Source organism: Homo sapiens, chromosome 7 (genome assembly GCF_000001405.40).
Source record: "Homo sapiens chromosome 7, GRCh38.p14 Primary Assembly".
Taxonomy (NCBI): Eukaryota; Metazoa; Chordata; class Mammalia; order Primates; family Hominidae; genus Homo; species Homo sapiens.
The window spans coordinates 104,349,632-104,362,247 of record NC_000007.14 but is presented as its reverse complement, the minus strand read 5'-3'; the positions used below and the strand labels follow the sequence as shown (position 1 = coordinate 104,362,247).

The 12,616-nt window shown below is 39.8% G+C and overlaps 1 protein-coding gene across 2 annotated transcripts in view, besides 1 other annotated feature; it reads right to left on the bottom strand.

Moving 5' to 3' along the window:
• Positions 1 to 12,616, bottom strand: part of LHFPL3 (LHFPL tetraspan subfamily member 3) — a 579,959-nt gene that overhangs the window by 546,314 nt on the left and 21,029 nt on the right. The window lies entirely within an intron of this gene.
• Positions 860 to 1,377: an enhancer, noted in NCBI's record as "OCT4-NANOG hESC enhancer chr7:104001319-104001836 (GRCh37/hg19 assembly coordinates)". NCBI's record gives its function as "activates a minimal SCP1, AML or CMV promoter by ChIP-STARR-seq in naive H9 embryonic stem cells {active_cell/tissue: H9 hESC(naive)}" and the evidence as "EXISTENCE:reporter gene assay evidence [ECO:0000049][PMID:30033119]".

Here is a 12,616-nt window from a genome sequence, read left to right as displayed (position 1 = left end):
CCCAGCTCAATAATACACCTTTGGCTGACTTTTCCTCTTAGTTGTCTATGCTTACTGATCTCTCACTATTATTTCTGAGGAGCACCTCCCAAATAAACTGCCTGCACCAAAGTTCTTGTCCCAGCCTCTGCTCTAAGGAGAACCCCCAACTAGAACCCAGGAACATCTCTGGGAAGAAGAAGACCTAGCAGGGAAGAGGGAAAAGTCCAGGAGCATTTCTGCATCACACATTCACATCCCCTAGTTCCTGGAGAACCTCAGTGTTGGTCAGGTGGTGTAATGCCAACCCTTTAAAAGAGGTGGATCCCAAAGTGATTTCTGACCAATAATCACAGTTATTCTTGCAGCATCAAATCTTACATTGTGTCAAGAGAGCAGAAAATTATTGCCTGTCTTTTTTAATCCGGATAGATTTGTATATCTTGAAATCACAGTGGTCTCTCTCATTACTCCAAGATTACCTTGTTCCTAAACCCTTGCTACTTTGACCCCATTACAAGCATACATTTAATCATCAGATCTTAATTATTTTTGTAGAAACCTATTATTCTGTGAGTCAGAAATGAAGATCGTTTCCTCAAGGCCTTCTCTGTGTTACTAATAATAATGTCTTATATTTATGTAGTACCTTTCCTTGACAAGCACAAAATGCTGCCTGTACATTATCTCGTTAATCCCAAGGGTGGCTCACAAAGTAGTGCGGGGCCAAAGGCTGCTATTTACCTATTCCTTGCTTCTCCTTCAGCTCCCACTTTCAGATGGAAAAGTTCAAAAGCAATTTAGAAATTAAAGCTTCTTTACCAAAATCAGTCATGAGAGATTTTCCAGATGCTATTTAGAATGTACCTTGACAATGTACAACAATTATTCCAGGCCCTTCACACAAACACAGATTAAAGTAACAACAAAAATCAATAGGAATCTATAAATACAATCAATATACTCTGCTAGAAGGCTCCTGAAACAATGGAAACAATGTTATTCTATTTTCCCACCAGCCTTAAAAGGGGATGATGCTACCAAGGCTCAGAGCAAGGGTTGGCAAGCGTTTTCCGCAAAAAGCCAGATCATAAATATTTTAGGCTTAGTGGGCCATCCAGTCTCAATGGCAACCACTCAACTCTGCCCTTGTAATGCGAAAACAGCCATAGACAATACACAAGTGACTGAGCATGGCTGGGTTCTAATAAAACTTTATTTATGGACACTGACATTTGACTTTCTTGTCATTTTCACATGCCACAAATTATTCTTCTTTTGATTTTTTGGCCATTAAAAAATGTAAAAGTCATTCTTAGCTCCGCTTTTGCATGTAGAATCATACAAAAACAGTCCACAAGAGGAATTTAGCCCATGGGCTATCGTTTGCCCATCCCTGGCTTAGAGACCAAAGTGGGGATCTTTGAGTCTTCACAGCAGTTGATCTCCCTATTTCCACTCTCCTCTGAAGTCTTTCTTCAAAGTATTTCTTGTTTTCATCCTGGGCAAGAAGTATGTAAATGTATACACACACACACACACACACACACACACACACACACACACACACACACGGAAGCACTTTTTTAAAAAAACCCAACAACTCACTGTGGAAATCAACCTCCCTAAAGCTGAAAATATAATGACTACAAAGCCTGTGTTTTATCATCAAGCTCCATGTATATTTCTGGGGCTGGCTGGCTCACCTGCTATAAGGCAGACATAGAATTGGGGCTCCTCTTCAAGTCCAGTTTGCTTTTTCCCAACCTCCTACTTCACCTGCTCAGTTTCCTCCCTCTGGCTTCCCATTCTCTGAGCTTTATCTGGATGCATTTACCTTATCAGTTCATTAAGCATTCATTAAGATCTTACTTTATGGCAAGTTCTGTGCCAGGTACGATAAAGTATGACAAGCATGAGTACAGACATATGAGCAGGTGCACAGCAAGCACAGGGGAGGTTAACTGTGGAACATGATACATTGGAACGCAAGACTCCAAAGAGCAGGTTATGCATGAGCTGTGTTTTTGGAGAGAAGAGGAGCTCTTCAAGTGAATTACTTGCCATTGCCCAGATCTTCCTACTGCGTGGCTTCCCTGGATCACCCACCCCATCCCTTTAAAAGTATAAGTGTGCTATGGCACTTCCTGGTGACTAGCTCTGGGAATAACTGTGCTGAAAATCCTTGTTACCATGGTGCAACGGAAAGTGTCAGGATTTGAGGATCAGACTGTCCTGCAATTGAAGCAACTATCTCACTTACTATTTGTGTGACTTTGGGTAAGTTACTAACTTCTGAGTGTCAGTTTATAACACATGATACAGAAAATTGTCATTGGAAAAAAATAAAACCATGTCTATGAAGTATTTAGCACATCTTATACATCCAACATACAATGTCACACTCATAAATAATTGTCTTTCAATAGGTGTTCCCAAGAGCTAGGCCAGCCCGACTGGAGCATGCCAGCAATGGCAATTAGAACACTGTGCTGGCCACTTTTTAAATCCAGGGCCCAGGTGTTATGGGCCCCTTAGACCATTTAGCGCATTCTACCCTTGATTCTCATTATCTGGGTGTTGGTGCCATTTCCTCCCCGCTAGACTGTGGACACAGAATTGGGTAGAATTCTTTCTCCCACAAAGATTAAAGCTGCTTATGGTTTCCTATGTGCAGGACTCAAGAACATGAATAGTCAAAGAATGGCCAAGATATATGAATTGGCTAAGTTAGTTTTGTGGAAAAGACCACATCAAATTAAACTTAGTTTTTTTACATATTTATTGAGTCATTCAGGATGGGAACATTGACACTTCAAAAAATTAATTTTATCTGAAATATGTCTTTCAGTGACCCAAATCAGCTAACAATCGCATCTATGATAGTATATAATAATTTTAAATTTTATTTTTAACTTGTAAAGTGACATAAGTGAAGCCTAACATAGGACCTTCTGAAGGCTCTATCAGGTGTCTAGTGTTCCACTTATGCCAGTAAATAAATTCCTCCTTAGTGGCTTCAAAATATTTAATGTTGCTTCTAAAAGAGCTGAAAATATTCCCAAGGAGAAATCTCTGTATTGAGGGCAATAAATATGCAACGTGTGGTTTCTAGTTGACAAGGAAGAAGCATAGGCGTAAATAGAAGGGTATTCTCAGGCTGGCCCTCTTTGTGTATCTCTGCACATCTGCCCCATGCAGGCTCATCCAGGGGAAGGTCTATTTCACTCCCTGGCTCCAGGGCACTGTCAGAGTCCATTTTCCTGGTGATCCATAACTCTTGTTGGAAATTCATCTATGTCTGTCAGTAGCAACACATTTGGAAAACATTTCTCCAAACTGTCACCATTGCAAAAGGATCATTATGCTGACATCCATCGAGCAACAGCTCATGCTATACACAGAGGAAAGGATCCACAAATCACAGCTCTCAATAAAGATCCAGCCTGAAAAGAATTTATCGAGAAGAAAAGAGCCATGGCAGTAAAATATTCCCAGGAACCCCAGTACAATAACCTAGCTAAATCTCAGTTTTGTTTCTGACAGGCCAGAGATTTATGATCATCTTCCCAATCAGCATGCTCTAAACAAAAGCTTCTTGTATCTGAAGATCTCCATCACTGGCTCTGTGAAAGTCACCCAATGCTGTATTGTCTTTATGGCTCAATACACTTTCAAGTTGTCTAAGTAAAGCCTGCCTATGCTCTCACGTTATAAGCTGTACATGTAGAACAACAGGCTAAAACAACTTACATCTCAACTCTGTAAGGGAACTAAGGCTGGCACTTGTCAAAAACAGGTAAATCCCGTGCTAAAACAAAGGTAAACATATGAAACTGACACTTTTAAATTACACCCTACTGACCCCCAAAGAGAAGTATGTTTCAATTTCGAGCCCACTGTGGTCAGACCAAATAAAAATCTGATTATTTTTTATACACACAGTAATAATACACTTGGCATAAAATTTACATTTTAACCATTTTAAAGTGCACAACTGAACGGTATTAAGTGCATTCACAATATTGTACGGCCATACTACCAGTTCCGACACTTTTTCATGTTTCCTAGATGGAAACCTCATACGCACTCAGCAGTCAGTCTCCACTCCCCCAGGTCCTGGCAACCACAAATCCACAGTAAATGTGTCTCTTCTGGATATTTCATATAAATAAACTCATATGCTATGTGGCCTTTTGTGTCTTTGATGGATTCCCTTCCGCCATTGCTGTAAATTGCCTGATCCCATTGTTTATATTACCTTCCCTCACCCTAATACCAGGGCTGTCTATGGGATTTGTGATTGTCCATTTTATGTATAAATAGACTAGGGTACAGCACCCCCAGTTTTTCAATCAAACACTAATTTAGCTGTTGCCATATAGGTATTTTGTAGATGTGATTAAAGTCCATCATCAGTTGGAAGCCTTAAGAGCAGAACTGAGATGAAAAAGAGGAAAGAGGAAGCTGGAGGAGAAGGAGGAGCAGGAGAAGGAGGAGGAGGAGGAGGAAGAGGAGAAATTCCACCTGCAGGAGGCAGCTTCAACCCATGCCTGAGTGTTCCAGTCTGCCCTTCCTGACAGCTTACCCTAGGGATTTCAGACTTGCCCAACCAGTCTTCACTATTGTATAAGCCAATTCCTTAGAATAAATCTCTTAATATTTATCTCCTTTTGGTTTTGTTTCTCTCATTGAACCCTGACTGATACAGGATGGGAAAGGGAGACTTAAATACATAATATGCTGATTTTTCTAGTCTGCTGAAGTTGGCTACCCGAAAGTTAGTGCTTACGGAGTTGTAAAGATGTCCTTTACAAATGGATGTTTTAGACAATCATTTACCCAGAAGCCCCAGGTCAATAACTACTAATTGCCTTTAAGAGGAGGAAAAAGACCTGACTCTATCTGTATCCTGGGTTCACATTTATATTTGTTAACCTGGTAGCTGGCTGTCAAAATTGCACGTGACTTGTCAAGGAAGCAAAGGTGATCTCTAGCTCTGAGAATAATCTGGGTTATCTTCATGATACTACGAGACCCAGAGAGCAAGAACATGGATGTCTTTACTACTTAGCTCTTTAGGTACAGTAGGTGAAGAATTCTGTGTGCACAACATCACTTGGGACTTCCCTCTGGAGTAACAACCTAGCATGCATTTTCCTGCTCATCTTTACCTATGAAAATCCTATTCATCCTTTAAGGTTTACCTCACAGACTATTTACTCAATAGTTTGAGTAATTTGGGGACCCCAAGTCCCCAAATTAAATGTGAAGGCTTTTGCCTTTTAAGCTTCTACAACACTCTGTTTCTCTCAGGCCAGAGGTCTCCAACCTTTTTGGCTCAGGCAGCAGTGCTCGCTAGCCCGCTGCTCACCTCCTGCTGTGTGGCTGGGTTCCTAACAAGCCATGACCAGTACCAGTCCGTGGGCCAGGGGTTATGGGCTCCTTAGGCCATTTAGCACATTCTACTCTTGATTCTCATTATCTGGGTGTTGGTGCCATTTCCTCCCCACTAGACTGTGGGAGTGATACATCTCTTGTCTTTGGGATCCTATAATGACTAGCACAGTGTATTTTGGTAGACTGTTTGCTGAACTGAATTAGTCCTAGGAGTCTGGAGGCAAATAGGAGTCAGAGAGTCCATCTTCAGTCTTCTTGGGTCAGATGTGGGTTTTTCTTTTTTTCATTTGTTCTGTGCTCTCCAACCTCCACCTACTCCACCTGTTCCAAGATGCATTAAAGGTAAAGGAAAAATACTTGCACCCTGTAGCTGCCATGGTCCAAATGAAACTACTTCTGACAATGACAAAAATGGAGAGATTTGGAAAAGTCAGGAAAGGATGACTCCAGGCCATTTATCTTTCCATGCCCTTGATTATTCCTTACTATCAGGTGTTTCTCAAACTAGTCCTCACCTAAGTTAAGGGTTAAAGTTGTTACCCCTTTCTTTGGGTGTATGGTCAGAGGCAGCCTGTAATCAACAGGAAGGAGTACAGGAAACAAGAAAGGAGGTTCTTTTATCTACTCTACTCTCCTTCTTGCCTGGAGTCTGCGTTCTGTTCTTTCTCATCACCTACCCTGGACTGAACAGTGACCAAACCTGGAAAAGTCACTGTAAACAACTGTATTTTTCATGCCTTCATTACAGCATGTTTTCTTCTATTACAAAAGCTATATCCTAATACAATCATTTCACTGATGGTTTGTCCTACAATCTTCCACATTGTCTTTGTTATTAATGCCTACCATATTACATATCATTATCTCTTAATTAGGTACATCTGTATAATGTACTATATCAATGATATAAAGATGAAAATTTATCTTTCTATATCATATATTTCTTATTAAAATGAGAATCTGTGCTGGCTTTGCCTTTGCATAAAATACATTAACTAATCCTTATGTCAGACTGACAACAGATTTAAAGATTTTTACTAATTCATCCTGGATAGATGCCAGTGGAGGAAGAGCCTTTGCCGCTATGTAGTTTCAGGTCCCGGTCCAATTTTTTAAACATGCGACACTTACTTTTGAGAATGAGTCTGTGGAAGGCTTTTTGGGGGAGCTACAATGGAGGGCAACCAACTATTTGTTAAAAAGAATTTTATTTTTCTAAGGTTGGTTCTCCTTCCTTAGAAACTGTAGTGAGTAGAAGGCCATGTCTAAGCTATAGTTTAACAGACATACTAAACTTATAGTGGGTGCTTGAAAAACGTCAATAGGTGAATAAACAGACAACAAGCAATTGTTCACTAAGTCCTAATGTGATTGCTAAATGAAAATTTAGTTTCAAGTTACTCTGGCTGTAGCAGAGTGTCTGGGTCACAGGGGACTAAAATTCATCTGGGCACCACCCCATCCATGGACTACATCTAGAGAACCATGCTGGTCCAAGTGTGACGTCTCAGGAGAGGTACAGACGATCTGAAATGCATACAACCCAAGGGCCCACTGTGATAAAGCAAAGGAATTATGTCATGTAAGGTACCATTGGGGGAATTGGGGATATTGACAACTGAGAAAAGGAGATGTTGTGGGGAAAGAAAAACCCAAGAGCAATAATCCAAGGCTCATTTGGATGTTCTCTCGAAGACGAATTACACATTTTATTTGTGGTCATGGAAAGCAGTACTATTTGGCCCAATACAGGAAGAGCTTTCTAATAATCAGGCATATCCAAAATTTTATAAGCAGTGTAAAATATTTTTTGGTTAAACAAAAATTCACTTGCATAAAGTGACTATATTTCAATTTGACCACTGAAAATTTAGCATCCAAATTGAGATTTGCTTTCATTGTTAAATATACACAGGATTTGAAAGACAGTACAAAAAGAAAAAGAATATAAAATATTTCACTAATAATTTTTATGTTGACTATATGTAGAAATTACTGTATTTTAGATATATTAAGATATATTATTGAAATTGATTTCACTCATCTCCTTTCACCTTTTTATAATGTGCCTACTAGAAATTGTGCAATTACATATGTGGGTGGCATAATATTTTAGATGAACAATGCTAGTCTAGAGAGATGGTCAGGGTCCTGACCATGACCTTCATCTCCTGAACTGGACAATAGGGTAGCAGTAGAAAAAGTTCAACTAACAAGCATATGAAGAGATAATTTTCAAACTCGTTAATAATTTAGAGAAATGTAAATTAAAACAATGAAATATCAGTTTATACAATCAGACTGGCCAAAATTAGAAAAATGAGAAAACTGGAAGTGCCAGTGGGGATGAGGGGATGCAAGACTGCTCGGCACTGCCAGCAGATGTGTGGGGGCTGGAGCAGCCAGGCTGGAGAGCAACAAACTGGCCCAAAGTGGTCCAAGTTAGCATATGTGTGCCCTATGGTCCAGCAATTCCCAAACAATCCCACCTAGGCTCATCAAAGAATGTGTACAAGATGTCCACTTCCCAGTTGTCTGGTGTGGTAGAAATCTAGGGGCAATCTGGGCATCTGTTGCCAGGGCAATGGACAGGGCGGAAATGTGGTGGACGCAACTCTGGAGTACTGTGCAGTCGTCAGCAATAACGAGCCAGAGGTGCATACAGCCACGTGGGTGGAGCTTCAAAACCTAGCACTGCGTGGAAACAGTTTAAAAATAAACAAATGGATAACAACAAGAGAAATAAATCTATAGCAGAATACCATTTACTGAAATTAAAAATGGAGGAACACAAGAGAGATTTTTTTTTACAAGAATCCATACAAACAAAAGGATACATATCAGACTTATTATAATGGTTTGTCAGTGGGTGAGGAAGCCAATGAGAGTGGGAAATGAGGAAATAAGAATAAAAGGGACTAACTAAAAATATATATATAAAGGAATAGAGAGACATGGAATTGAACCTTGCTTTTCCACTTACCAGGTAGGTGGCTCTGGACAAGTCACATAACTTTCTGAGCTTTAGCTACATCATCAGCAAATAACAAAATCAACACTGAAGGAGGGTTAAGAAAATCAAAGGCACTGTATATAAAGTGCCCAGAACTACACTGGTATATTCCAAGGCTCCTTAAACAGAAATGGCTAATATCACTTGGAGTTTATGCAGGTTCTGCTCACCAGTTTGAAGCACAATCTTCCCGCCCTATTAGGCACTAATGCTCATAGCTTATTTAACTTCAGGTTAACAGGGCATTGATGAAGAAAATAAGTTGCCATAATTCAGAATTACCCTTTATCTTACAGGAATTACTTTCACTCTGCAAACACTTCTTCCATCCAGAATCTGCTGCCTTTATTTATATACAAATGAATAATTTATCATTGTGTCTTTCAGGAACACAGTCCCAAACCAAGGCCTGAGGAAATATAAATATAAAAAGACTAATGTGATTCAGTGACAGAATGTTAAGAAATTTTGAGAAAACTGTGGTCCCTTGGATACCTTACCATCCTCATGTGGTCTCATCTGACATCACACCTCAGCAACATGGTGTACCCTAATTTACTCCTGTTTCATGCAGTTGCCTATAAGCACAGGTAGTTTTAATATGTGAATTTTCCCAACATTAAAAACTGCCAAATATCTTACACTTCTCCATTGTCTGGTTCATGATATGCTGGCTTTTTTGTTGTTGTTGTTCATTTGTAGTATAAAATGAATAAAATGTCTGGTTTCATGAACATGTCGGGGCTTTAGTGCTTCCTTATACATACATTGCAAACAAAAACCAGTAAATTTTAACCCCTTTGGAGCCTCTGGGAGGCATCCAGAACTGCAGAGGGATAATCGCCTTTCCGGGTAGCCCTTACAGGCTCCCCACTGAAATCAGGCACCAACCCAATGCACTTGGAAATTCACTCAATCTCAGCTGCCAACTTTCGAGTTTTTCTAGACTGTTTTTAAATGGAGTTGGGAAGCCCCAACTGTTACTGAAAGAGTAGCCAGGAACTCATGGTTATACCTGGATCCTTCCCACATCCGTGGAACCCAGAACCCTTGGCTGGAGATGTGGAAGTGAGGTCACGTGAACTGTCCTCCACTGAAAGAAAAGTGTGGAGAAACCTCCACCCCTGGAGAAACAGACTTATTGTTCTCTGCGTTGAGATCTTTCCTTCAGACTACAAAATGCTCGTGGTAAACAGGTGAAGTCTCAATAGTGCCTACTACAGGATTCAGAGTCAGGAATTCCAATTTGCAGGGTACATTAGGAAGATGAGGAGAAGCAGTGCTCATCAAAGGGGACATGCATTGTACATGAGCTGGTAGGACACAGGGTTGGGGCTGGAAGATACAGGCGGCTGCAGGAAGGTAGATTGGATGCCTTGAGGCATCTATTAAAGACCTGCTTTAAAAAAGCGGGGAAAGTGGTTAGAGTGCTGAGAATAATAATGAAAATAGCTAATATTTATGAAGTTCTTATTACATACTTGGTAGTATTCTAAGAATTTTACGTGCAAAAGTATTTTATATGTAAAATGGTTAAAATATAAATGTAATGGTAATAATTTACATATATTATTCATTTTCTATGCTTACAATATAAATATAATAGTAATAATTTACATATATTATTCATTTTCTTTTTGCAATTTACAGAAGGGAATAATGATTCAGTTGTATGAGATTTTTTTTTTTTTTATACAGGGCCTCGCTCTGAGGTCCAAGCTGGAGTGCGGTGGTGAAATCATAGCTCACCACAGCCTCCAAATCCTGAGCTCAAAGGATCCTCCTGCCCCAGCTCAGCTAATTTTTTATTTTTATTTTTTTGTAGAGATGGGTCTCGTTATGTTGCCTGGGTTGGTTTCAAACTCCTGGCCTCAAGCAATCCTCCCGCTATGACCTCCCAAAGCTTTGGGGTTACAGGCATAAGCCACTGCCCCTGGCCTAGTTGTATTAGGTCTTAACAGAGAAAAACAGGGATGGGCTTCGATGTAACAGGATATAGAGACCAAGAGAAGCACAGGTGATGGTCAGGACAGGAGGGTGCCATGGAAATTCCTAGGTATAAGAATAAAATCTTTCCTAATACTTGGCATATGAGAGGTTGAATTTATCTTTATAGAATGTCAATGTGTTGCCACCTTGAAAATTGTAAATTCGCTCAAACACTTAGGATTTGTTTTCTATGTTTGGCCAAACTATTAACAATAAAAAATGAAACTTATAAGGCTATTACTTGAGTCTAGAAGTAAAATTTTAAACTATGATTTAGTCTCCTTCCATCTTAATTTTCTCCTGAAAATAATTTTATCAGCCTCGTTTTACATATAGTGACTTCTGGTCTAGGAGGCTAGTTTCTGTTTATTGGAGGAAGGAGCCCATGAAAAGTAGAAAAACTTTTCAAACAATATGATCCTGCAATCCCTTGAAGTCAAGGTTAATCACAGAAGAGTGCTAAGATTTGCTTTGTGTTCCAAAGTTTGCAAACTAAAAAATGTGTATTTTATCAGAGAAGTGAAATGGGCTCTACTGACTCAAAAGCAGATGTAATAGAACCAGGGAAGAAAGGTGACATCAGACTCAAGGTGAAGAAGCCTAAATAGATAAGGTATGATGATCTGGAAGAGAAGGGATTTCTCTGGATGGCTGCCAATTTACATGGTACTAACCATGTTAACTGCACTCATTGATCTCTGCTTTGGGGCCTCTGCACATTCCCTTCTCATTGCCTGGAATTCTCCTCTCTCATTTTCTTCTCTCAAGTCTCTTCTTAAATGGTGTCTTGTCGAAGAGACCTTTTCTTTCCTTTTTTTTTTTTTTTTTAGAGGGAGTCTTGCTCTGTTGCCCAGGCTGGAGTGCAGTGGCATAATCTCAGCTCACTGAAACCTCCGCCTCCCAGGTTCAAGCAATTCTCCTGCCTCAGCCTCCTGAGTAGCTGGGATTACAGGCGTAAGCCACCACTCTCAGCTAATGTTTGTATTTTTAGTATAGACGGGGTTTCACCATGTTGGCCAGGCTGGTCTCGAATTCCTGACCTCAGGGAATTCACCCACCTCGGCCTCCCAAAGTGCTGGGATTACAGGTGAGAGCCATTGTGCTCGGCCAAAGAGACCTTTTCATCAGCACTCACTATCACCCACTCTTCCATAGTATTTATGATCACCTGATAGATTATATATTTAATTACTTGTTTGTGTCTGCCAGTCCCCAGCGGAACATAAGCTTTGTGAGGTCACAGAACCCATCTGTTTGGTTCACTGCTGTTTCAACAGCATCTAGAACAGCCCATCACTCTGCAAGGGCTCAATAAACATTTGTGGAATGAATAAATGAATCTTCCATTCAGTCTCTATTCATCAGTCTTGCCCTTTATCCATCTCTGGTTAATATCAACTCATAGACTCTCTATACTAGTCCCTTTATTTCTTATGGAAGGGAGAAAAAGACAGTTGAGCACAGTAGTTACAAGTCTGGACTTTGAAACCACCAAATCCGCTAGGTTTAAGACTGGCTTCATTGCTTCTCTGACGGTTCTGTCCAATAGAACTTGCTACAATGATAGAGACATTCTGTTCTACACTCCCAATACAGTAGCAACTCATCCCACAGACTAATTGAGAATTTGAAGTGTGGCTAGTGTAACTAAGAAGGCGAACTTTTAATTTCATTTCATTTAAATTTAAATTTAAATTTAAATAGCCACATGTGGTGACAGGCTACTATACTGGATAGTTGTAGCTGTATGATCCTGGGCAATATTTCCTAATCTCTCTGTGCCTCCATTTCCTTGTCAGTTAAATGGGAATAATAATAATAATACACCTCATATTATTGTTGTAAGGATTAAATGAGATAATACATAGAGCACCAGAATAGTACTTGGTATAAGGAAAGCTCTCAGCAAATGGCACTATCGTGGGCAAAAGGAACTAGCTTCGCAATAACACTAAATCTTTACTCAAATATGACAATGATACCAATCTAACGTATTAAAAAATAGGGAAACAAAGGCATTTCCAAAAAGTAAGGTTATAGCAAATTATGTGATGAGTTGGAAAGTGGGGTAAATGTAAGGGAACTCTAGAATAGCATGTCAAAAAGTTAGAAATTTTAGTTGATTATAAATGTTACTTTTTTAAAATTATACTTTAAGTTCGGGGATACATGTGCAGAACGTGCAGGTTTGTTACACAGGTATACACGTGCTATGGTGGTTTGATGCACCCATCA